Here is a 26,552-nt window from a genome sequence, read left to right on the forward strand (position 1 = left end):
GGGGTTTCACCATGTTGGCCAGGCTGGTCTCAAACTCCTGACCTCAGGTGATCCACTTGCCTCGACCTCCCAAAGTGCTGGGATAACAGGCATGAGCCATTGCACCCGGCCGAAGATTTTTGTTTTGACTGTTTTTTTCTGAACTACAGGGAAACGAAGGCTTTTATGTTATTGTCCCCCTTTTCTCACTAACTGGACTTCCTGTGACACGTGAAGACGCTATGCATGTTTAATAAATACACTTTGAATTTAATGCTCAAGGAAGATAAGATTTTCCGTCTTAATTCAATCTATCTGTCTTGATCTAGGGTGTTAATTAGAGTACTGCTTCTGTGGGACATTAAGAGGAAGAATGTTATTAAAAGGGAGAAAAGATAATTCCATGGTCAAATAGATTTGAGGAAACTTGAGTTACTCAACTTTATCAAGTTTCTTTCCTACAGGATTTTTTTCAGTCCTTAATATACAAACGTGCATATTGACTCTCCTAAAACTATTGTCTGTAATATAGCTCAGTCTATTTTCTTCTACTCAGAATATTTTGTGCAATACTTATCTAGAGTAGTGTTACATAGAGCCACACTTTGGGAACTGTGTTAGTCTAGATTTACCACAAACCCCATCTTCTCACTCATTTATTCCATTAATAAACTCATATGATTATCAAGCTATATCCTAAGTATTTGGCAGAGCAAAACAGCCTGAGGGTGGGATAAATGCTTTAAAAAAAAGGTGTGATATTGTATCTGCCCCTAAAGCATGTATATATCTTGCCTCTATATTCAGCTCTTATACATTCTGCCTTTTAAACTTATTTTCAACATTTCCTCACTAAGGGAAAGAAGCATGGGTTAAAGAAGATACTGGTGCAAAAGGAAGAGCAATTATCTTAAATTTGGGACAAAGGCAATGGAGGTGATTAATACATGGATTTTACCCTTGCTTTTTGCTTAAGACCAAATTATTTTTCTAAAAATAGCAGCATGAAAACATCACCATTTCTTCTGGAAAACATTCCAAGCTTTTTTTATATACATATGAATGAAAGTGGTCAGAACTTCAGAATACTTAAAAACTACAGCATAATTTTCATAAGTGCCTCATGCAAGAGCAAGCATATAGGGATGATTCACTTCATCATCATAAGACAGCTAAGCACTGTATGTTTCTTGTTATGTAAGATGGACAGACACACATTAGCAGCATTTCTCATATTGGCTATTTGGTTTCTTCTACTAAAGCAAGCCCCTAGTGTTGTTCAAAATAGCTGAGGAGATGTAAAGTCTGGACTTCAGCACAAACAAACTTAAAAAGATATATGAACTAACCAGAGTTGTTGATCAGTGTTTGCTTGTTATTTTAGCCATAGAGCAAAGAAAAAAAATTAAAACAAATTTAAAGCTCACTAGAACTTTCATTATTCAAGCAATTTTAAACTAGTATCCAAAGTAGTACCTAAGTTGCAAACTTGTAATAACTAGAAATGGACTATAAAGCCTCTCTGATCTTTTTCATCTTTAAAAAGTAATCACGATTCAGGAGAAAAGAACCGTTCATCCAAGAACTAAAGTAATATCTGAGAGAGATGAAACAATCATTATAAATTAGAAGTAGCCCATCATTCATTTTTCTGCTATCTTCTCTCCAGGAGAAAGTTGACTCTCTGGAAAATCTGACTGGTGCTCTTTCCTCGTGTGCTCCAAGAACTTAAAAGCCAATTGTGATGTTTCCAAAATAAAGTACAGAGAAAGACACTTCTATTTCATTCCTCTTTCCCAGTGGCAGATTATTTGTATCCAAGCTTCATGGAATTTACCCGAGATGGGATAAATATAATTTTGTGTTTTTTAACAGAATAAGGTTTATCTCTCCACAGTTTCCATGTAAAATTCTTTTTTTCCTACAACCAACTGGGTACCTTCTACTTTTTCTGTGAAGGCATTTATTTCTGGCTGGTCAATCTGAATTGTTCCATTATCTTGCTACCCACTAGTGATGAATAAACTTCCTTATTTCTGAGTTCTTTGAGACCTGAAGGATTGATGGGCAAGAAGGAAGAACCGGGACTGCCAATGAAGGCAGGAATTCATCTTATTAGTCTCTGGTTTGAGTTAATCACTGGGGAGATAATATTTTAAACTCCAAAAGACTTCATGAAATTTTCCAGAATTTCTCCAGAGACACAGATCAATAGACCAGAATAATCAAGAAAAGGGAGCACGTTTGCCAAATGCCACTCACTTGGTAGGGTATTTCACTTGAGTGAGCAAAAGGGTTTTTATGGAATTATTCCAGCCCTATGAAAGAAGGAGCAAATCAACCCTCCAGGAAAGCTCCTCCAAATTGCAGCTAAAGATAAAAGAAAGGGTGACATTTTAATTCCAATCTTCAATCCTCAACAGAGGGATGCGGGTGGCACTTATTTGTTATGTTGTTCAGTTGATGAACAGCTTTCCCATAGCACTGAGCAATCACTGCCCTGTACTCTCAAAATAATGCATGGTGATATGGGGACCCAGGGCCCCATAATTTTGCCAATGGCTCGCCTCTTCTCTTTCAGCAAGAAGCAACCGAAAATGAAGCCTGCCTGATTGCTATGAGGGTTCCTCGGGCTTCAGCGATGTTTAAATATTAGCCCCCAGAGCTCAGAGCTTAACTCCCAGCAGCAAAACAGTTATCTACCCTGGTACCCTGAGCCAGGCATAAAAATTCGAAAATTTTAAAGCAAAGTCTAAGTTTAAAAAAGAAAATCACACATGGCGGGGTACAAGGAATGAATAAACCTCCAGCTCCCAAGAACATTTTCCAAAATGGCTCCTTTACCATTTCTAAATGTGAAGCACACAGATCTCCGGGTGTGGGACTCTCCTGCTTCTAGATGCCCCTCTCCCTCCACACTGTAAGCTTTCTCTGCACCTGCACCTCCTCTAAGACTTGGCTCCTTCCTGATCATTTCTGCCTTCAATGTGATATGCTCATCTTATTTTCTTATCCTCTCTCCTCTCCCTGTTCCATCTCTTTCTCTGTACCTCTTTATTCCTCTTCATCTCCCTCCAAGCCCCTTTTGTCTCTGGTTATGGCAGCCACTTAAGCATTGGTGGGTGCTCGAACTTGGCTTACCTGACAGGGGGTCCCTGAGGCTGTCCAAGAGAAACAAGACCCTAAGAAAGTATAAAAATCTGAGCTGCAACAAAGCATTTTTTTAACCTGAATTCAAAAGTATTTTCCTTAGCCCGTGCTGCATGTGCTGTATTGTTAACTTCTATCAAAGGGGTTCATATCTCAGGAATCACGGGAAACTTTCAAACATGATTGATGGCCGGTCAAAAGAACATCCACAGCGCGATAAGCTGCAGAGAGGGAATGTGCTGAGCCGGTTCAGGATTGCCTGGCTGTGCCTTTCAAATTCCTTTCATCGCAATCGGTGACTGTAAGCACTGCAGGGTGAGAACAAGCCAGGACTTTGTGGAATATTCTTAACTGCTGATATGTAATCCATACAGCTAGTGGTAGCAGCCCGAGGATAAAAGATTTAAAGAAATAGAGACACAAGGACTGATTTTTTTTAAAAAGGCAACTTGGAAGGAAAAAAAAGAGTGAGAACAGTAAGATTTATGTTAACCCATTGGGAGTGCTCTGGAAATCTCTTTGATGAAGGATTGAGATTGCTTTGAAGCAGACTTTATTGAAGCAAAAAGTAAGTGCAGTGTCCAGGGACTTGGGTCGACTGGGTCACTTATCAGTCTTCCTGACTTTGAGTTTCCTTTTTCTTCCAAATTCTGCATGCTACCAAGCTCCTAAATGCTGCTCTATAAAAATATTTTCCTGCTAAAGGAGGCTTTTATATAGCCTTAGTAATTAGTAGAAACTTGACTGGTGAGAAATATATTAAAAAGATAAGAACCCAGAAAAGAGGATACATACATATATACACCCACATATGACGTGTAAAAGGCTATTAAAATATCTGCACCCTGTTATGCATGCCCTTTCTTACTATGAGTTCAGATTTCAAATACAACACTACAGAGAGTTGGGACAAACTGGATGAGTACCATGGGAAGGCAAAAGTGGTTGTCATTTTCCAACGGTAGGAATATCAAACAGAGCTTAGGGAGCAAGAAGTAAAGATGGTCATGGCTGAAAGGGAGAGAACAACAAATAGAAGGTTTTGAGCCACCAGTGAATTTGCCTGAAACTGGGAATGTAAAACCATCCCATAAACAAGTGAGATGGCTAATTCTGGGATTATGAAAGAAAGCTCTAACAGAAAAAAAATTTTTTTTTTAAATCAAGGAGGAAAAGAAGCAAGTACCAATGAGTGACATAATGATGAGAAAGGACATATGGCTGATGATGTAGGGAAAGCCGAAACTCAGGATTGTCCTTCCTAGCACAAGCTGTCGTCTGTAGCTGCGCTTAGGCTGTTATTATAATTATGCTTTTCCATCCTTCCCGGCTGTGACCATAAAGTAATGAGGCTGATTTTTTTTAACAAACTGCAGTTTATATATTCAAACAGTGTTGATTTTCAGAGAGAGCAATGTTGCTGTTCTTAGATTTTGAAATCTATGATATCAGAAAACTATTTTCTTTGTGGCTAGTGTTTTGCCTCTGAAGGCAGTTTCCAAAAGGAAGTTTCCAAAGGGAATCATTTCCAAAAATGGTTTGAACAATCATACAGCAGTGTTAGTGGTTTCACTGAAGTTAGTGTTTAACCTTCCCAGCTAACTTTTTGGAAGGAAAAGGCTAATTTGGGGATACAAGTTCAAGAACAAGAGTTCAGCAATCAGTCATTGCTCACAAAATGAAGTCACAGGATTATTGGAGCAGGAGGAATTGGAACTCCTCTGCAGCCCTTTTAGACAGATACTGAGAAATATAGCAACCTGGTACACTGACCACTGAAGAAACCACACTGGAAAACATGAAAGCAAGTGCAATGGAGACTCCGCCTACCAGATCATTGTAGCTCCCAAAAAATAATGAAATCACTCTGCTCTCACCTGCCCCAATAAAGAAAAACAAATACAGTGTATTCTCAGATGTTTGGCACACTGATATGTTCCACAGACAGCCACCAACTTTACACTAATAGCCAAGGTGGTTCCTAGGGAGATCAATAATACCACTACTTGGCAAATGCTGAAACCCACTGCTCCCCTTAGATTCTCCACAAGAGAGCAAGAACATTTTGAGAACACACAGAAACTTCAATAACTTGGATGAATAACTATCTTTACACTGGCAACTCATCCTTTCTTTCTGTAAGGAAATGGTCCAGGGATATAACAATAAATGGGTACCTCTCCTCTACAAGGAGGCACCAAGCAGTACAACCCCACTCAACTTCAAAGAGTATCAGAATGACAAACACCATGTTGTTTTGTAATATCTGGGCCAGTTTCCTGTGTTTTATTACAAGTGTCCACCATTTGTTGGAGTTCCTTAGAGATGGTCAACTCCAATGCCATAGAAATAATGGCATTTTTATTTGGCTTATGGGAAAATAGATACAGTAAGCATATAAACCTCAGAAAAGGTTTTCTTTTCTCTTATTTGCCAGCTTCTATAAAATCTGTATTGGTTGCCTGATGCTTTTTCCAAAATCTGAGGGAACTGACTGAGCATAAAATGTTGAATTTTGGCATGCAGGGAAACCCAGAATCCAATACAGGTTGACATATTGGTAAATGTGATGAGCTACAAGGTGGCGTCACTTCTAAGGCACTGAGAGATGACCAGGTTCCAAGTAGGGGAAGTCCTTTAGGTCATTGCAGGGGACAGAGTCAGAAAATTATCTCAGGTGTCTTCAGACTTGAGGACAAGATATCAAAGCCCAAGGAAAGCACTAAAAGGGCTTGAGCAATGGTGTCTTCTCCATAACTGGCCAATTTCTCTGATAAACCAAGATGACACTTTCAGTTTAGCCTACAGTGGTATGCTAATTCATTGAAATAGGAGAAAGAATGGGAAGAAATAACATTTATTGAGTCTTCACCACATGGCCAGAGACCTTATGTCACAACAACCCAGTGTGGGAAGAATCATTATGTCAATTTCTACACATTAATCAATTGAAGACTCAGAAGTTAAGTGACTTATCGAGCTTATGCAAGATTCACCCTGATCTCTCTGGTAACTAATGCTAGGTGTTTTTAACATGCCTAAGCTGAGCTGCAGTGACATCTCCCAGGGTGTCTTACCATTGTTTCCTCCTTTCATGCAATCTATTCTATGAAAGTCCAATTTCACAAAAGATCTTCATTAGAAAGAAACTCTACTTCACACATAATTCGTTATTGGGTTCCCTTAATAAAGGTATCATCTGGAATATCTTAACAAATGAACAGAATTCACCTCTTGCATGAAGTGTGGTGTATTTGTATAGGCATGGAGTCCTTTTTTGATGATGCATCAAAAGTTTTTATCCCCTATCTCCTTACATTGTCCCATACCAAGACTACTAACCAACAACCCCACAATAGTAACCAAGCACTTACCATATATCTACCAAGGGCTAGTCCTTAGAAGAGCCACGGGGCATGGCATTTAAACAGGTAAAAACAACATAAAAATATAAACCTGGTAATGATAGGGCAGGTACATCTCCTCCACTCCAAGCTCCCCTCTGCACTATCGTTCTGACTCACCCTCCCTAGCCTCCCACTAGAAAGCTGTATAGCAACCATTTTTCAGTGTCAAGAATTCATTAAATAAAACATAAATACTATACTCTATGGGACCAGGATTGGGCTCCAAACAAAATTTAATGTGCAAACAGCGCTTAAAGGCCCTTGGTCTCCGTTCTGCTATTCCTATCACCAGCCTGGTTCAGAAGCCTCATAACTCGTCCTCTCCACAAGTGACTTGGCTACAAAGCAAGTTGTTTAGAAAAGCAGATAACAACCTCCCTTGAAAGAAACTAGTGAGGCATTTTAGAAAATAGGGTCTGTAGCAAATGTGGTCATAGGAATCACACAGCAACCTCTCAGGACTCGTTTCCTTCGGCATTGCCCTAATGAGGCTGCTTACAGTCTAAATGATGGAGAACAGTTCTCCCACACCCTCTCAGGTCTGTGATGCCCCAGTATTTTCTCTGCTTCTGATGCAGGGAAAACTGAAAGGATGACAGTGCCAAAGAACTTTCTCCTGGTTAATAGAGAGAATTTGAGATCACCTGGAGAGGCTCAGTCTATTGCAAAGACTCTTTGGGCAGTAATGAGACTTGAGAGATTTATCCGCCTTCAGGCAAGGTCTCTCCTAAACTACCCCAGATGCAACTCTAGCCTATTTTAAAAGACCTCTAAAGAAAGAAGGTTCTTAACTCTTCCCTTCTGCACAGGAATAAAGAGAGTGTTGGGAAGGCAGTTCACTTACATCTCAAATCAGCATACATGTGAGTCAACATAATTGGCCAAACAAAATTGCATTCCATGATAACAGGTAAACTATTTTAGATCATTCATAATGAAAGTGCTTTCCTATCCATTGCCTATTTATGAGATCTGAAGTGAGGAAATCCAACCAAATCTTTTCCTTGATCAAAGTTCTTCTATGGCTCCCCATAATCTAAGTAATCTCATGTAAACAAGATTGAAAAGAGAAACTCTCTTTTAATTTATTGTTCCCAGAGAGGCTCTAGCTCATTTCCTCATCTCCTTCAGGACTATATGGAAATGTCACTTTCTCACTGAGGCCTTCCATTAAAAACTACCCCATTTAAAAACTGCAACATCCCTCACCATACACTACACACACACACACACACACACACACACACACACACATACACACAGTCACTCTTTCATTTTTTATTTTTCTCCATAGCGCTTATCACCATCAAATGTACTATATAATTTCTTATTGTCTATTTTCCCTATCAGGATGCAAGCTCCATGAAGGAAAATATTTTGATCTGTTTTGCTCACTCCATTATTAAAATAGAGCTTGGTACATTGCAGGTACTCACTACATCACTTTTGAGAGTACTGAATGAACACATAGCTTCCTGCAAGATGCAGGGTCTTATATTAACTAACTGATGATGACCTTTCTCAAACAGGACATTGACTGATGAATATACAATAGCTATTCCTATTTAGGACATTAATTCTGGTTTTAAGATCTGAAATGGGGAATTTTCAGCTGTGATCTTAGGAGTCAGCACCCCTCTGAGATGTCCCCTTCCCCCAGCCCCAGAGGGGTACTAAAATGTGGAGCCTTGGGCTTCCTGAATTCTGCCTCAACCAAGCCAGTTCTTCTAATATCTGTCTTATACACTGGGGCTTTCTGTAAGATGTTACTGGGGAGGAAACTGTCCCATTACTAAAAATACAGTTAGAAAACCTCTAGGCTAAACTATGAGAGAGAGAAGCATGAAAGAACATTGGATAGAGTGTCAAAGAAATACAGACTTAATTCATTCGACAAAGATTTATAGGGCACCCATTGGGTACCTAGATTTGTGCCAGATGCTGGAAATACATAATGAAGTAGGACACAGTCAGGCTCACAGTCAGCCAAGCTCACATAACAAGTAATTATAATGTCCTCGGAAATTTTGTAAAATCAAAGGGGCTTTGGAGAAGGATGTCAGGAACGTGTCCTGCCAGAGGCATCTGCTGAATCTTAAGGATAGTTATTAGTCAGATGGAGCATGAGGAGACTGACCTTCACATTGTGATTTTAAATAAGATTTTAATCTCTTAGGACTCAATTCCTCCAACTTTAAAATAGGAGGCTTGAAAATTAGCTGATATGTAAAGTTCATCCCAAATGTAAAACTATTTATCAGGCCAGGTGCGGTGGCTCAAACCTCTAATCCCAGCACTTTGGGAGGCCAAGGGCGGGGGGAGGCGGGGAGGGGTGGTGGATCACAAGGTCAGGAGTTCGAGACCAGCCTGACCAACATGGTGAAACCCCCATCTCTACTAAAAATACAAAAATTGGCCAGGCGCGGTGGCGGGCACCTGTAATCCCAGCTACTCAGGAGGCTGAGGCAGGAGAATCGCTTGAACCCAGGAGGCGGAGGTTGCAGTGAGCCAAGATCATGCCACTGTACTCCAGTCTGGGTGACAGAGCAAGACTTCGTCTCAGAAAATAAATAAATAAATAAAAATACTATCTATCCAGCTTTGCCTACTTACCCTACAACCAGTAACAAAAGTTGTTAGTTTCGAGTAATACTGCTGAATATAGAGTTTGGGCCAATTCATCGGAACATGAATAATGTGTTTGGCATTGCATGTTGATGAGTAAGTCCCAAGAAAAAATGTTTAAATTAATTGGTGTTTTCTTTCTATATGAGAGGTTTTTGTTGCATTGTTCAGATTCAATTTCAATAATTCCATTATAACTATGCTCAATACCAGATATGAAGTAACCTAAAAACAAGTTATGAAATTACAAACTTTATTGTTCACCATTTAACATCGTTTGTTTTTTGTTTTTGTTTGTTTGTTTGTTTCAGGCAGAGTCTCGCTCTATCGCCCAGGCTGGAGTGCAGTGGCGCAATCTTTGCTCACTGCAAGCTCCGCCTCCCGGGTTCACACCGTTCTCCTGCCTCAGCCTCCTGAGTAGCTGGGATTACAGGCACCCGCCACCGCGCCTAGCTAATTTTTTGTATTTTTAGTACAGACAGGGTTTCACCATATTAGCCAAGATGGTCTCGATCTCCTGACCTCGTGATCCGCCCACCTCGGCCTCCCAAAGCGCTGGGATTACAGGCGTGAGCCACCGCGCCCAGCCTCAAGTTTGTTTTTACATTTGAGATGCTCTTCCACGTTTAACATATAGAATAAGAAAACAGAGCTCACTATGTCCTGGTAAATTTGGAACTAGAAGAGATTTCACGACATTTTACTCCTCCATGCTTTCAAATCATAACAAATATGTCATCTAGGAATTTGTTCACTGTCATCAATTATCAAACTATCAAAAGTTAACAGGTTAGCGTAATGATGAGTGGAATTCTGAAGTATATGTGCTTGGAGAATTTTGGTGTTGGGGTTTTCAATGTGTGCAAATCTCATTATACTTATGATGCCCAAGAGCTTAGTCTCTACCAGGAGGATTAAAGAAAATGACTTAGCTTCAAAAAAAAAAAGTTAACAGCAATATTTCCAAATATATTAAGTTGGTGCAAAAGTAATTGTGGTTTTGACCATTACTTTCAATGGCAAAAACCACAATTACTTTTGCAGCAATCTAATATATGTTGGTATGTCCTTAATTTTAAGAGGAAGCAAGGAGAAAGTAAAAGAATATGAAAAGAGATATTCTTAAATTATAAAACATGCACTAGATTTAATGTCTGTAGTTCTACCACTGAGTGGCTGTGTGAGTAGATCACTTGAGGATAGATCACTTGAGCTCTTCTTGATAGATTGTCTGAGTTATTTGAGACTGTTTTCTTCTTTATCAAATGAAGGTGTTAATATCTATCAGAGTGGGAAACGCCCAAATTTCTATCACCTGATGAATGGATAAACAAAATGTGGTATGTCTCTAAAATGGAATGTTATTCAACATTAATAAAGTCTGCAATACAATATGGATGAACCATGGAAAATTATACTAAATGAAAGAACTAAGTCATTTAAGATCGTATATTGAATGATTCCATTCATACTAAATGTTCAGAAAAAGCAAATCTATAGACACAGAAAGTTGATCAATGGTTATCCAGGGCTGAGGGCTGTGGGGAGCAGGAGAGGGATGGAGGTGGTGGGAAATTTTTGGAGGAGTGAGTAAAATATTCTAAAATTGACTGTGGTAATGGTTTCACAACTCTGTGATTGTACTAGAAACCACTTGTTATGGACTTAATGTTTGTGTCCTCTCAAATTCATGTGTTGAAGCTCTAACATATAATGTGATGGTATTTGGGGGAGGTAATTAGGTAATGAGGTTGAGAGGGTACAGCCCCCATGATGGGATTAGTGTCTTTCTAAAAAGAGGAAGAGACCTGAGCTCACACTCTTTCTGCCATGTGAGGATACAGAGAGAGGGCTACCACCTGTAAGTCAGGAAGAGGGCCCTCACCGAATATTCCAGCACCTTGATCTTGGACTTCCCAGCCTCTATAACCATGAGAAATAAATGAAATAAATGTCTGTTATTTAAGCCACCCAGTCTACACTATTTTGTTATAGCAGCCCAAACTGACAAAGACAATGCAGAATTGAACACCTTTAATAGGTGAATTGTATGATAAGTGGATTATATATCTCAATAAAGCTATTATTTAAAAATAATATTGATCAGAATTGTTGTGAGGAATAAATAATAGAAGGCATCTGAAAGTTCTTCAATGATAAAGAACATCCTATATAATATTGGCTATATAATTATATTTAAATTTTCCTTGAAAAGGATATTTTCAGTGCCACCCTGTCAATCCAAAGATATCTAAAATAAGCCCAAAGTCACCAAAACAAGAGGTTGTCACCACTCAACACATGTTCTTCAATTAGCATGTATGACAAATCTGGATACTGTTCCCATGGTACAGTGGCACACCAGGAGTCTATCTCACTGAGATTCAGAGCTCCACCTACATTGCTGAAAACTCAGGCAGCATTTACTTTAGATCTTGTCAAACTTCTAATCATCTCACTTCTTGATATCTTACTCTGAACATATATCAATAAAGTGGAAAAGGATAAATGTGTTGAAAGTTTGCTTTGAACATACGAAATCTACTGTGAAAATAGGGGTAACCAGGTATACATAAAGTAGAAGGGAGATCTTTCTCACATAACATAACCATGTTGATTCCACTACTGAAACCCATTTTCCCTTGCATTTGAAGTACGTCTTGGTGAACACAGCTTTTCCTTGTTTCACTTAACAACTGCTGTTAAAATTTTAGTGACAGAATGAGAAAGTCATTCAATGGAGATTGCCAAATGTCTAATTAGATGATGTTAAAAATCAAAGGAGGAGAATCCAACTGCTAAATATAATAAGCTAAGGCATAAAATCATGGATGAAAGAGAAAATGGTACCTTCACTTTGTTAAAATGGGGTACATGTATAAGATATTTTCTGCAATTTTCCATGGATTAAGCCCCTTAGGACTGGTTTATTGACTGACTGAGTTTCTACTCTACGTTGATTTCCCATCTGATCACTAAGATCCAGAATTACTGCAAACTCATTCTAACTAAAGGAGAGAAAGGAACCGAATTCGTTTTTGTAAAATTAGAAAAAGTAAAAACCATGAAAGAAAATATAAATAAATTTGATTATCTGAAAACTTGTAATTACTTTTCAACAAAAGACACTACACAAAATTTAAAGACAAGAACCAGATTGTGAAAGATATTTGAAACAAATAAGAAAGACAAAATGTTTGTATCCAGAATATATGAAAAACTCCTAGAAATTAATGAGAAAAAGATAATCCAATAGGAAAATAAGCGAAGGATATAAAGAAATAATTCATTCAAAAGAAAATACAAATGGCCCAAAAAAAAAAAAAAGAAGAAGAAAATAAGCTCACCCTGGTGGCTCACGCCTGTAATTCCAGCACTTTGAGAGGCCGAGATGGGCGGTTCGCCTGAGGTTGGGAGTTTGAGACCAGCCTGGCCAGCATGGTGAAACCCCGTCTCTACTAAAAATACAAAAATTAGCTGGGTGTGGTGGCACACACCTGTAATCCCAGCTACTTGGGAGGCTGAGGCAGGAGAATTGCTTGAGCCTGGAAGACGGGAGTTTGCAGTGAGCTGAGATCGTGCCACTGCACTCCAGCCTGGCCAATAGAGCGAGACTCTGCCTCAAAAAAAAGAAAGAAAATAAGCTCACCCACACTAATAACCAGGGAAATACAAATGAAATCACTAATGATATTTTGTACCAGATAGAAAGAACTGTTATCATTTGAAAATACCATGTACTGACAAGGTTTTGTAGAGAGAGGAACCTATTCATCCCGAGTAGCTGTGTAACTTAGAACATTCATTTTGCACTGCCTGTTAAAATAAAAAATGTTTATACCTATAACCTATCTTACATCCTTCTAGATATCTTATTTTTTTTATTATTATACTTTAAGTTTTAGGGTACATGTGCACAATGTGCAGGTTTGTTACATATGTATACATGTGCCATGTTGGTGTGCTGCACCCATTAACTCATCATTTAACATTAGGTATATCTCCTAATGCTATCCCTCCCCCCTCCTCCATAGATATTTTTAAAAAGCTCTAGCACATGCAAAGATGTTTATTTTGAAGTTGTTTGTAATAGTTAATAGTGGAATTATTAAATAAGATGTTTTATATTCAAGAGATAGAATATTATATAGTAGGTAAAAGGAATGAACGTGTGTATGTGTGTCTGTGTCATCATAGATTGTTTTGTTTTTAAAGTTATTTGCATAAAATACATAAAATATCATGTAAAAATAATGCTTTTCATATTACAATACAATACTATACATTTTATTAAGATGCAAACACATGTATGCTAGATCAGAAACAATCATCCAGAAAAATACAAACAAACTCATGATTGTGAGTACCACTAAGAAGGGGGTGGAGGGAGGACAAGATTTAGACGGTAGTTGAAGAGAATTTCCACTCTATCCAAAATGTTTTAATTTTTTCAAAAAAGAAAAATGTAGTCATATGTTATGTGTTTTTAAAATATATATCCAGGAAAAAGCCTGAAAAACAAGTTATAAAAATGTTCAAGTGGGTTTTTTATGGGTGGTAGATATATTCGGGATTGTTATTTTCACATATATGGTGGGGGGCAGTGTGTGTGGGTGTGTTCTCCAAATTCCTCAAGTTAAAAAAAAAAAAGAGGAAAATGTGGCCACTACAGTTTGATAGTCATATGGAATAACAAACCCAAATTTTAAAGTGGCCCCAATCTCAAAGTGATAAAAGTACTCTGCACATAAAAGTATGTTATATGGGTGGGATAACCCACTAACTAATCAACTATTATTCATTAGATTAAACATTAGATTAAAATCTTTACTAAGCATTAAACTTTCACCTTGAAAATCAGAGAGCAGACCTTGAAGAAATGAGCAGAACTAGATTTTTGTGATTAAATATTACTACATAATTTGTCTTAAACACTTTTCCTTTTAAAAATGTCAAGATAATTATATGTTAAATATTATCTTAATAAGCCCTAGAAATTCAGATTTTAATTATAGAATCTTAGGAAACATGAGCTTCTAGCCTCACATCATTTAATTGTGGCCTTGTGGAATTTGCAGGTTACGCCAAAATCCTTCATTACCTGGTTACACACTAGTGGACAATATGACATTTTGCTTGGAAATGATATAGGATAATATGATGGAAAATAACTGCACTTTTTCTATTGTGCTTCTCCTATAAGGCCATAAATAAGTTGAATTGTGCTCCCTTGATTTATGTTTATGACTATTATTATGATGATTTATTTTGGGTTGAGTGCTGACAGTGTGCTGAGTGCTGTACCAGACTCATAAGAAGAAATGGTTATGCCCCAGAGGCTTACATACCAAGACAAACAATTCAGCCATAAAATACACCAGCTAAGAGATGCTTAATCTCAGCAGTGCAATGCCTCTTGGAGTTTATATGTAGGTGGAGAAAATTTCCTTCTCCCGGGGAAAGAAGGTTAACGCTCTTTGAAAGACTTGGAGGAGCAGTTTTCAATAGAGATTTCATACAGGGGTAGGGAAACATCAAAGTGCATGCTATTAGGAGCATAGTAGAGAGGATGGTCGATTGAGGGTTCCCCAGCAAACACACAGTTTATGTACTGAGTTAGGTATCGAGGTTATAAGATTGCCCATCAAGGACTTCAGTCTAGTGGGCACACTCGACTGTGATTCCAGATATGTTCAATGGGCTACTTTTAATATTATAACCACCTTAACCTGTTCTGGAATAATATTGGTTATGGATATCTAAATCAGTGTTTCAGAATGTATGTTTTAAAGAACAATTTGCTTAAAGGATGTTATTAGGTATGACAAAATTTTAAAATATAGCGGACAAATAAATTTGAAAAATGCGGGGTTAAACAAAGTGAAACAAGGATCTCTATTGCAAGGATAGTCAGAACCATCAATCAAGCTATGGAAATTGTGAACCTTAGAGTTTGATTACAAAAAAAAAGTTTGGTAGAGCACTTCATGGGACTAGTACACTGGGAAACACATGTTGGGAAAGTTCAGTGGAATAAAGAACAAAAGAGAAAATGAATTTAACTGTGTTTGTTTTAACTGTGATAGCTGTTGGGAACCCTTTGTCTCCTGATTTGAGTGCTACAAAGATATAACATGCCCTGGTGTCTCTTCCAGCTGAGCTGAGCGAGGCACAATACTCTCCACCACCTTCCAAGCACAGTTAGAAAGATAAGAGGATAGGGTGAAGCACAATAAATGAGTCTACACATTTGTGGTAGCCAGCCCCCTAGATGGTTCCCAGTGATCCCATGCTCCTGGCATTCCTGCCCTATGGGAGTCCCCTCCCACAATAAATAGGGCTGGCTTATGTAATCAGCAGGATATTGGAGTGTGACTGTCAAAGCTAGGTCATAAAATACATTACAGCTCCTATCTTGCCGTTTTGAATCTCTGGCTCTGGGGAAAGCCAGCTACCCTGCTGTGAGAACACTCAAGCAGCCCAATGGAGAGATCTATGTGGTGATGAGCAGAGTCCTTCTGCCTATACCGTGTCAGTGAGTCTTCTTGGAAGCAGTAAGTCAAGTCTTTAGAAAATGGCAGCCCCAGCCAACATTTTGACTGCAACCCTGTGAACAACCCAGAGCCCATACCACCTACAACTGCTCCCAAATTCATGACCCACAAAAACTGTGGGAGATAAAAAATGTCTGTTGTATTAAGCCACTAAGTTTCGAGGTAATTTGTTACACAGCAATAAATAACTAATACAACATCCTAGATTTTTCAAGAATTCAAATATGCTGTCTTGTTGTTCATCCATGTGTCCTGATTTGGGATTCAAAACATTTGATCACCAGAGATACTCCTTGCCTTGTACACAAGATTAGAGTCACTAAACTTCAATCAATACTAAGGCCAAAACAGCATTCAAGAAATGATCTACATGGCATTCCTCAAGAATATATGACCACCACCCACTTCACCAAAAACCTCTATTTCCTAGATGGGGCTGGCCAGCTTCTCAATGAACTGATAAAATCACAGCGATAACTATCAAGATCTTTTGAAAAATAGGCCCATTGACCAGGCTACTGAGAGTAAGAAAGTGGCCTCCACTATAAAGGTTGACACTGACACTGTCTAAACTCCACTATGCGGTAAAGCAAAAGGATCAAGGCTCTTACACTGAGTTGAGGTAGTAGAACCAAATCCAGCTCTCCCCTGTGGAACATTAAAAGGGAGGAAATTGAATAGGGTCCAAGGATAAAGGCAAGGTTGGGGGAAGGGAAACAATACAAAGGGTCTGAAATGACCTGTGCAGAGACATGAAAACATGCTACAAGGCAAAGGAGCCTGGAATCAAGGTAACCCACGCAGAGCAAACTGGCCTAGAAGGGCAAACCCTAGGTCAGCAGTAGGACCCCTGTGGAACAGAGCTGTGAAGGGTGCTAGGCAACTTTGGAAAGAGGGTGATCCAACCCAGATGTGTGAAAAATTCCCAGATCACACAGGATAAGCAGTCTTACCTGGAAGGGAAAGGGCAGGTTAGGCAAGAGAAGTGCCAAGTAGTGGTTCATAGACCACATGGAAGCAACATGCTCTAAAGAAACTATGAGGCCGGGCACGGTGGCTCAAGCCTGTAATTGAGCCACTTTGGGAGGCCGAGGCGGGCGGATCACGAGGTCAGGTGATCTAGACCATCCTGGCTAACACAGTGAAACCCCGTCTCTACTAAAAATACGAAATAGCCGGGCGAGGTGGCGGGCGCCTGTAGTCCCAGCTACTCGGAGGCTGAGGCCGGAGAATGGCGTGAACCCGGGAGGCGGAGCTTGAAGTGAGCCGAGATCGCGCCACTGCACTCCAGCCTGGGCGACAGAGCGAGACTCCGTCTCAAAAAAAAAAAAAAAGAAAGAAAAGAAAAGAAAAAAAGAAACTGTGAGCCAGATGATAGGATGCCCATCAGTGAGAAATGAAGCATTAGAAGAGGGTCCAATCTGAGCTATGACCTTGGGGGACATCAAAAACAGGTGAGAGGGGAAAAAATGGAGGAGCGGGGGAAGGAGGAAGGGCGGAAGGGAAAGATGGCGAGTGGGAGAGTGGGAGGGAGAAGTATACAGACGGCTGGTGTGGTGGCTCACACCTGTAATCCCAGCACTTTGGGAGGCCAAGGTGGGCCAATCGCTTGAGCTCAGGAGTTCGAGGCCAACCTGGGCAACATGGTGAGACCCCGACTCTACTAAAAATACAAAAAAAAAAAAAACCAAAAAACAGACAAATTAGCTGGACGTGGTTGTGGGCGCCCACCTACTCGGGAGGCTGAGGTGGGAGGATCACTTGAGCCTGGGAGGCAAAGGTTGCAGTGAGCTGAGATTGCGCCACTGCACTCCAGCCTGAGTGATTCTGTCTCAAAAAATAAAAACTTTGATTTTCATGGGAACCACTGTTCCCATTTTAAAAGTTTGGGAAACACATGGCTGTCTAGCTGAGTATGGATTTCTAGGTGGAGAGGTAAACAGTGAGAAAATAACCCAGGACATCTGGATCACAGGTACCCCAACACAAAAGCAGGAGGTGTCTAGGTATCTACCCATCTACTTTAGCAACATTGGCAATCTTTTAAGGAATTCTGCACAAATAAGTTGGAATTATTTTCTCCCATTGCACCGAGTCCAGAAATAGTCCATGACCAATGATCCATTACAGCTGCCGGTAGAAATAAATTTGCTTGAAACTTCGCAACAGGCTCAATACACAGTCTTGCCCATGGAAACATACATAACGGTAATCGGTATTCCTCTCCGGGCCCAGACCTGGTGGATAATTACAATTAAGCTTCAATGGATTAGCTGCCAGCGGGACAGTAGATAGTGAGTAGTATTTTACATCTCTACTTTTTCAGCAAATTTGGGCATGTGGAGTTTTTTTTTCCTTCTCCATGGAAAACAAAGAAGTTATTTCCAATTAATTCAGGAGAACATTAAAATTACTGAGAATTGTACTGTTTCCCATGGCAGGATGAATGAGGTACAGAGTGACTCTCCTTATTGTGTTAGAAATGCAAGGGTCACTCACATTACTTACAGAGCCCCTTGTTTACATTTTTCAATTAGGAGATAATCAGTATGCCATTATGAGTAAAAATTGTTGGAACGATCTTTTGGCTGTATATTTTAACCAGCAAATCTTTGGGGAAGGTTTGATTGAAAGTATGACAGGAGAACAAGGCAAGTTATACTGATGATAAATAAGAACAATTATCACACTTATTATCTGATAAATAATTTATTGTGATTTGCCATGAATCCATCTCAAGCCACCTCCTAGATGAAAACACACCCCAAAGACTGACTTCTTCAGCTTTTCCCATGTCATGTCAGAAATTCTTGCCTGAAAAACACAAAGGAAGCATTGCCTGGAATATAAAGGCCTGTCACTACATACTTGATCATTTTAATCAGTTGCAGATAAATTACGCCCCTTATATAAATAGTAAATCAGTACTTCTTTCTCAGCTTTAAAAAAAAAAAAAATCTGTGAGAAGCTGTTTTGAAGAGAAGCCATAGCTCAATACTTAGGGATCTGTTTTGTTTTTTGTTTTTGTTTTTTATGTAATTTCAACTTTTATTTTAGATTCTGGGAGTGTATGTGCAGGTTTGTTACATGGGTATAGCATGTGATGCTGAGGTTTGGGATACAAATGATCCAGTTGCCAAGGCAGTAAGCATAGCACCCAACAGCTAGTTTTTCAACCTTGCACCCTCTCTGCCTCCCCCATCCATTAGTCCCCAGTGTCTATTGTTGCCATTTTTATGTCCATGAGCACCCAATGTTGAGCTCCCGCTTCTGAGCGAGAACATGCGCTATTTGGTTTTCTGTTCCTGTGTTGATTCGTTTAGGATAATGGCCTCCAGCTGCATCCTCATTGCTGAAAAGGACATGATTTCATTCTTTTTTATGGCTATGTAGTAAGGAATCTGTTTTAAGTGTTGTCTTCCATGCTTCCCATACATTTTTAGTCAATGCCTACAGCATATTCCTGATTTCAGATAGTACATACTATTATAAGAGGATTACTAAATTCTTCACGGCATTACATAAATTCAATTGGTAAGGATTGGTTAAACCTAGTAAAATCATTCTAAATGTTGGAGATCAGTGAAAAATGTTGATTCCTCTGTTGCACTCTCCTTTTTGGCAATTCCCCCCAATAAGCATACATGTGTTATTTTCAAACTTGATAAGCAATATAGACCTTTTGGGCATACAGATTATATTTTCCTACTGACTTCATCCTCTAATATCTTGAAAAATAATATTAATACTATGTTTTCCTTTTGAGCCCTCAAAGAGAGAGACACCATGGTGACTGTCATTCAAAAATGAGGTGTTAATTCTACTGCTTCTTTTTTGTGTGTGTAATTTTTGTTCTTTTTCAAAAATGAATTTCAAAAACAAGTAAATTAATTTGATTTTATATTATTTATCTCTGATAATAAACAAATATTCTTTGTTAGGTTTTGTTCCCCATGCTTTTTTTCTCTCAGCATTTTTGGTCACTGCTTTGCTATTATTTACGTAGTCATCCTACCTATAAGTTTGGATTCATTTCATAAAATTTTAGGAAAATTTTTAATTACTGGATCATTAATATTAGGCAGAAATCCATGTGTCATTATCAGAAATTACAAACTAGTATTACTTGTTGTGGGCTTCACTGTTAGGGAACTGATATATGGCCCTGAGACGTCAAAGGGTCGCCCTCTGCCTTCAGGTATCTGGAAGAGATTTTAAAAAAAAAACTTTTAACGGTCTGTTGAGAATGTGGCTATAAAACCATTCATGCAATTTGACATCCTCAGAGTCAGGAAATTCTTCCTCATAGCTAACCAAATCCCTCCAGCTGCAATAGAAGTCCATTTCAAATTTGGTTTTAGGACTAGGAGACTCATTAAACTCTTATTTTGTAGATGAAGGAAAGGTGGTAAAGACAAGACACCACAGTGTTCTTATCTTCATTATTTCCTTGGCAATGAACAAAGCCAAAAAACAGCTTCTTGGTAGGCATTTCTTATCCACAGTTAGAAAATTTTTTATCCTCCATCATGAGGTGAGCCAGGATCAATTAATAGCCCAGGCAGTAAGCATAGTACATCCCTGAAAGACCTCAGCCCCACACGCCTTACAGAGTAAAGCAGAATGGAGTTATGAGCATCCTTCATGGCAATATAGTATAATTTTAAACAATGGACAAGTTCCTAGATTACACTCAATTTAAAAACAATGCAAGAGTGCTACTTTACCTAATATAGCCAATCCCCAATATATCATACATAAGTTTCAAAATCTCTCTGTACATAGAATCACAGGAACTGATTAAAGAAAGGTAAAGGAACTGGGAGAGAAAAATCTATGCAGTTTTCTCTTGTCTGACACGAGAAATAGATGTGAAATACATGTCACGAATGCAAATCAGGACAACTGAAGGTCTCGTCATAATGTAGCATTCAGTATTTTAATGTCAACATCATGAGAATTCAAAACAGAGAAATATTTTTCTCTTTCTCCCTCCTATGTCTGTCTATTATATATGTATATATCTGTCTATGTATGTGTGTGTGGTCAGACACCACAAATATAGTACTGGTAAAAAAATAATAACAAATAGCACAAAAAAGGAGTATTTTACTCTTTTCTGACCAAAATTAATATGAGTTTCTTACAGGTGTTTTCCTCTTTTTAAAAGATAATCCACTTTGAAAACTGATAATCCAGTTCTTCCCCATCCAGAAGCTCTCAGGGAAATTTGGTAGATGGCATTTGATTTACAAAGACTAGCAGAATGCTCATGGGCAGATCCTTCTGTTTGAAGCAATTCCAGAGTTGTCCCTTCTGTGAAAATGCTTGAGATAGAACATTCCAGCACTCCCTACCAAGCAGAACAAAGCTCACATTTTACACAATTCCAGATATCCTCGGGCCTCCCAAGTTACCACCTGTGATTTGGATCTAAGCAAACAGAAAGCTAAAAGAGGAGACAAATCATCAGTAAATCTCTTAGGTGCTGATCCACAAATACTAGGAGCCAAGGGAAATAACCAGGAAGGTCTTGAAGTGATGCTACCAGAAAGGGAATTATGATCTGGTTGGCACTGGGGAACCTGTTAGGATAAATCAAATGACTGAAATGTCAATACTGAGGAACGCAATCTGTGAAGAGAGGACAAAGAGGTGGGAAAATGAGGGCTTGCGCTGTAGATCAAAAAGAGTTGGACTTGCAATGAAATACAGATGGATGATAAAGGAAGTAGCAATGCTGAAGCTGTATGAGTTAAGGTAAAAGAAATATACGAAATAAAGGGGAATTAGCAGTGGGTGTCCTCTGTGCACTACTAAATCACGATGAACTCACTGATAAATTACTGTAGAGGGAAAAAAACAGATACCCATGTCCCCATAAATAAATAAAATGTAGCATGCAGTATAAATCTCTGCATATATGTCTCGCCTCTCCCTGCTGCTACCTACTAAAATTCTCCAGCATCCTCCTGCTCCTTTTCCTCTTAACTCCCGAATAAGTGGGGGTGCTAAAACCCTTGTTTAACTTCTGTCCTTCGAATAAATGACGATATTCTTGGTTTCAGTCCTCCAGGTCCCTCAGGCACACTTTGACCACTCTTGAGTTTAAAGGCACAATATACATAAACCAAATATAAGTAAAATGCTAAATGAAAAGATCACAAAACTCTGCTACTCTAGATTTCAATTACTGAGACATTTCTTAAGGGATAATAAAAAGAGCAAAATTCAGGTCATCCGGGAATTTTTAGAGCTGTGTTGCTGTTAGTTGCTTGTTTCATAAAGTGGAAAGGGCAGCTAGAGGTGAGGCAATTTGGGCCTGCTCACGACAAATAAGGAAGAAACAATCAGGAATCTGGAGGTGAAGGTCACTTGGGAGCGTGACCTGATTCCATTTGCTATGCTGAGAGGAGCCTTATTTGTGCAACTTCTCACAGATACACAAAATAGGAAAAAGGTGAAGCCATAAGAGAGAATTCTGCCCTGAAAGTCAAAACTCACAAGGGAAAAATCTGTGAAGCAAAATTACACTGTGAAATGTCATCTCTAAAGGGCTTAAACAAGAACTGTGATAAATGTTATTACTCTGCAGTGCCATAAGGGTGTTGAGGACTCAATCACTGCTCTGATTTTGCCCAACAAGTTCAAGAAGGCAGTTATAGGAAAACAGACCCTGTTCCAAAATGCTTTCAGGGCTAAAGGCTGCAGGAGAGAAGCAAAATGGGAAAACCACTAATACAGCCATCAAGCTCACAAAAACTTTGGATCATCACTGCCTCGTTGCACTCTTGGGTTTAAAGGCACTATAAGGTCAGTGTAAGCAAAGGATAAATAAAGTCAAAGGTCAGAGAGGTCCAGAAAATATCCAGTCAAGAACCAAACGACAAATCGCCTAAACCAATCTTTAAGACTGATTTTCTTAAAGATCTCAGCAAAACAGTTGCAAGAAACCCCCTAAAGTCATTCCAAGATCAGGCAAGTGTGTCTAAGACTGGAGAAAACAGCTGCACTTCTAATCTAGGATACAGATAAAAGAGTATCCAAACAGTTACAAATTAACACCCATGGGGATGGTTCCCAGATATGTGCTCACAGAAACTTTACAAAATGCATGTGTGAGGCCGGGCGCGGTGGCTCACGCCTGTAATCCCAGCACTTTGGGAGGCCGAGGCGGGTGGATTACGAGGTCAGGAGATCGAGACCATCCTGGCTAACACGGTGAAACCCCGTCTCTAATAAAAACACAAAAAATTAGCTGGGCGTGGTGGCGGGCGCCTGTAGTCCCAGCTACTCAGGAGGCTGAGGCAGGAGAATGGCGTGAACCCGGGAGGCGGAGCTTGCAGTGAGCCGAGATCATGCCACTGCACTCCAGCCTGGGCTAAAGAGCGAGACTCCGTCTCAAAAAAAGAAAAAACAAAATGCATGTGTGTGTGCTTGTGTGTATATGGGTATTTTATATATATATATATATATATATATATATAAAATCACCAGTCATGTCGTCTTGTACTCTAGCTGCAATGCAAAAGAGACAGATTTTAATGAGTTGAGAGTGTTATTTTAAACATTTTTTCATACTTTGTTTTTACCTTTGAAATAGTTCAACCTCAAAACTATATTATCCAAGTTATGATCAAGCCTTCCCAGGCTGCAGTCACCCTAATGAGGTCCTCCATGAAGGGGCCATAAATTAAGGGAGGGATCTGTGGATACCATGAAAGAAAAGGTCAGAAAGGGCCAAATAATTCAAAGAGGGAGTTTGCTTCCCAAACTTTCCGTGTGTACTTGGACAACTAGGTGTGAAAAAGGAATGTTCTCTCCCAGTGAACAAGGACACTTCCAAACTTATTAGTAAGTCAAAGCTACTACCAAAAGCAAAATGGAAGACTTTGGGCTCAGGTCAGGGCTTCCCCACTAGAGATGACAAAAGTCGACCCTCATATACTTGCATAAATTGATAAGGAAAGATGCAAATGACAAAGTAACTTTTTTAAAAAAGAAAGTTATAGAACAATATGTACAGTCTGATTGCATTTTGGCTTAAAAAGAGCACAAGTTATAAATTATGTATTTTATGAGCATAGAAAAGGATCTGAAAAAAATACAAAAATTTTTAACAGCGTTGAGTAAAAGTGGGATTAGAGGGAGGACTTTCATTTTTATGTGATTCATTTCTGTATTTTTAAAATTTTTATTATAATTGCCCTATTTTCATAACTTTAAAAAACAACTTTAATATTCTCATAATTCAACTTTGGGACTTCCTAGCTGCCTTTTATGGTTGTTTGTTAAAATAAAATAACTTTTATCCATTCAACTTTTCATGGACTCTCTTAAGCTCAGGAATTTACCTTCTCTATGAAAAAGAGAAAAACTGGGTTAATGCTCCAGGTTAAGCAGACACAGAAGCAGGACAATTGTATATAACACATGAGCCTGGGCTGGATCCTAAACCAAAGAATAGTTTTTCTCTTACTATAAAGTTTTTGTTTTTTTTTTTTTTTGAGACACAGTCTCCCTCTGTTGCCCAGGCTGTAGTGCAGCGGCATGATCTCTGCTCACTGCGACCTCCACCTTCCAGGTTCAAGCAATACTCTCACTCAGCCTCTCTAGTAGCTGGAACTATAGGCATGCACCACCACCCTCAGCTAATTTTTGTATTTTTTGTAGAGACAGGGTTTCACCACGTCACCCAGGCTGGTCTCAAACTCCTGACCTCAAGTGATCTGCCGCCCTTGGCCTCCCAAAGTGCTGGGATTACAGGCGTGAGCTACCATGCCCAGCCTCTCTTGCTATAAAAAGATTATTAAGATAATTAACAAAATTTGAATAAATAATAGAATTAGTACTATTGTCAATGTAGTTTATTGATTTGTATGACTTTACTATGGTTATATAAGAGAACGGTGAATATTTAGGCATAAAGGGGCATCTATCTTGTCTTTTACTTACTTTCAATTAGGTCAGAAAAAACATATAGACATAGAGAGATAGGTATGGATACACACACACAAAGAGAAAGAAAGAGAAAACGAATGTCTGAATACCAGCAAAATGTTAACATTTAGGCAATCTGGATGGAGGTTATACCAGAATTATTTGTACTATCTTTGCAACTTTTCTATAAGTCCAAAATTATTTCAAAATAAAGTTTTAGAAAATTAGGAAGGAAGAAATGAAAGGAGGAGGGGGTGAGGGAAGGAGGGAGATTGGCCTTGCCATCTACTCCTGACTTATAAAGGCCTCTATGATCCTGTTCATTGTTTTGTTTGTTTAGTTGATTTTATTCATTTACATAGTTTGATCTTGTCAGTGAAATCTGATATATCTTCAGGAAGAAAGTTGAGTTTTCACAAATATTTGAGAAAATTTAGCTAATAAACATATCTCAAGATATCTCACAGGCAAATATTCACAGCAAGTGTGATTAACCTTACTAGTAGGTGAAAAGATCTAAAGAATTTGGACAAAGTCATAGAATAAGTCAGTGGTAGAACTGGAAATAGAAATCAAGTTTCCTAGTAACTCATTCAGTATGATTTTTTAAGCCAGAATTTTGTGATGCAGCAGCTATTCTACGGTGGAAAATTGCCCCTGGGAAGCTACAAGAGTTCATCAAAGGCAGAGGGTCAGAGTCCTGTGTCTGCTGTGGTGAGACACTGGTCATATTGCTATACACCCCATAAATCACAAATAATAATATCCTGAGGCATTCTCTTCTGTATTAAAAGATAAGAACTCTGTTTTTGTTTCCAGAACCATTGCTCTCTTTCCCTGCTTCACATGGCTCATGTAATTCAGAAGATAGACTTCATTCAAAGAATGAAAAATAGGTGAGTCTGAATCCCAGTGCCTCTCTCCATCAATTCAGCAAGCTGCAGAACGTTATCTGCCTTGTAAGTAGCTCGGCTCCCTCTAACAAGATGAATTTCTTTCCTAAAACAGGTTTGTACTTAGGGCTTCACCACCAGCAGTGTTAGCACCACTCTGAGAAAAGTTATGTATTGATATAAGAAGCCCAAATATGGGCTTTATGGAGTGCAGGTAGACCTCATCTTTGGAGAAAAAATATATATAGTATTCATAAATAATAGGCTTTAGAAAAAAATGATAAGGAAACACTCTCCTTGAATCTTGGCAAAAAGAGAGGCAGGCAGTGCTCCAAAGTCATCATCAAACTAGAAATGGCTCGAGAGGCTTTCTGCAGGCAGTGTTCTCACGGACTAAAACCTGTCCACTCCAAGTGTAGTCCATAGACCAGCTGCTTCAGCATCACCTGGGAGCTCATTAGCAATGCAGACTCCCAGGCCCCTCCACAGACACAGTGAATCAGTGTCTGCATTTTAGCAAGATTTCCAGTACATTTGTGTACACATTATTGGAGTTTGACAAACACTGGACTCCAGGAAATGGTGGAGTAACTAGCTTAAGCCTAGAAGAAGCAGGGGGGAAACACATACACACACTAACACTGCTCTGAGGCAAGCACAGTCACAAAATAAGATCCAAATTCTAGTCAGAACTACCCTCAGACTGGCATCCGGCACTCTGCTACTTCATCTCTCCACTCTACCCACCATCCATCCCTCCTCTGGGTCTTGGATCCATGACCAGCATTCACCCTAAGTGAAAAGGCTGAGCAGCCTATGGCCTGTTATCTTAGAAAGGTGTTCAGGTGAGAGGGGGCACACATAGCTCAGCGGTAGAGCGTTTGACTGCAGAAAGGTGTTCAGGTGAGATTAAAAATAGAACTGCAATATAACGCAGCAATCCCACTACTGAGTATGTATCCAAAGGAAATGAAATCAGTATGTCAAAGAGATAACCTGCACTC

The 26,552-nt window shown here is 39.1% G+C and overlaps 1 long non-coding RNA gene across 1 annotated transcript in view; it reads right to left on the reverse strand.

Annotated features, from left to right (window-relative positions):
* Positions 1-18,408: 18,408 nt before the first annotated feature.
* Positions 18,409-26,552, reverse strand: part of LOC105377448 (uncharacterized) — a 192,690-nt gene continuing 184,546 nt past the window's right edge. The window contains exon 3 of the long non-coding RNA NR_133945.1: positions 18,409-18,529. This is a non-coding gene — a long non-coding RNA (uncharacterized LOC105377448). The remainder of the gene's footprint in view (positions 18,530-26,552) is intronic.

The sequence above is a fragment of the Homo sapiens genome, chromosome 4 (genome assembly GCF_000001405.40).
Source record: "Homo sapiens chromosome 4, GRCh38.p14 Primary Assembly".
Taxonomy (NCBI): domain Eukaryota; kingdom Metazoa; phylum Chordata; class Mammalia; order Primates; family Hominidae; genus Homo; species Homo sapiens.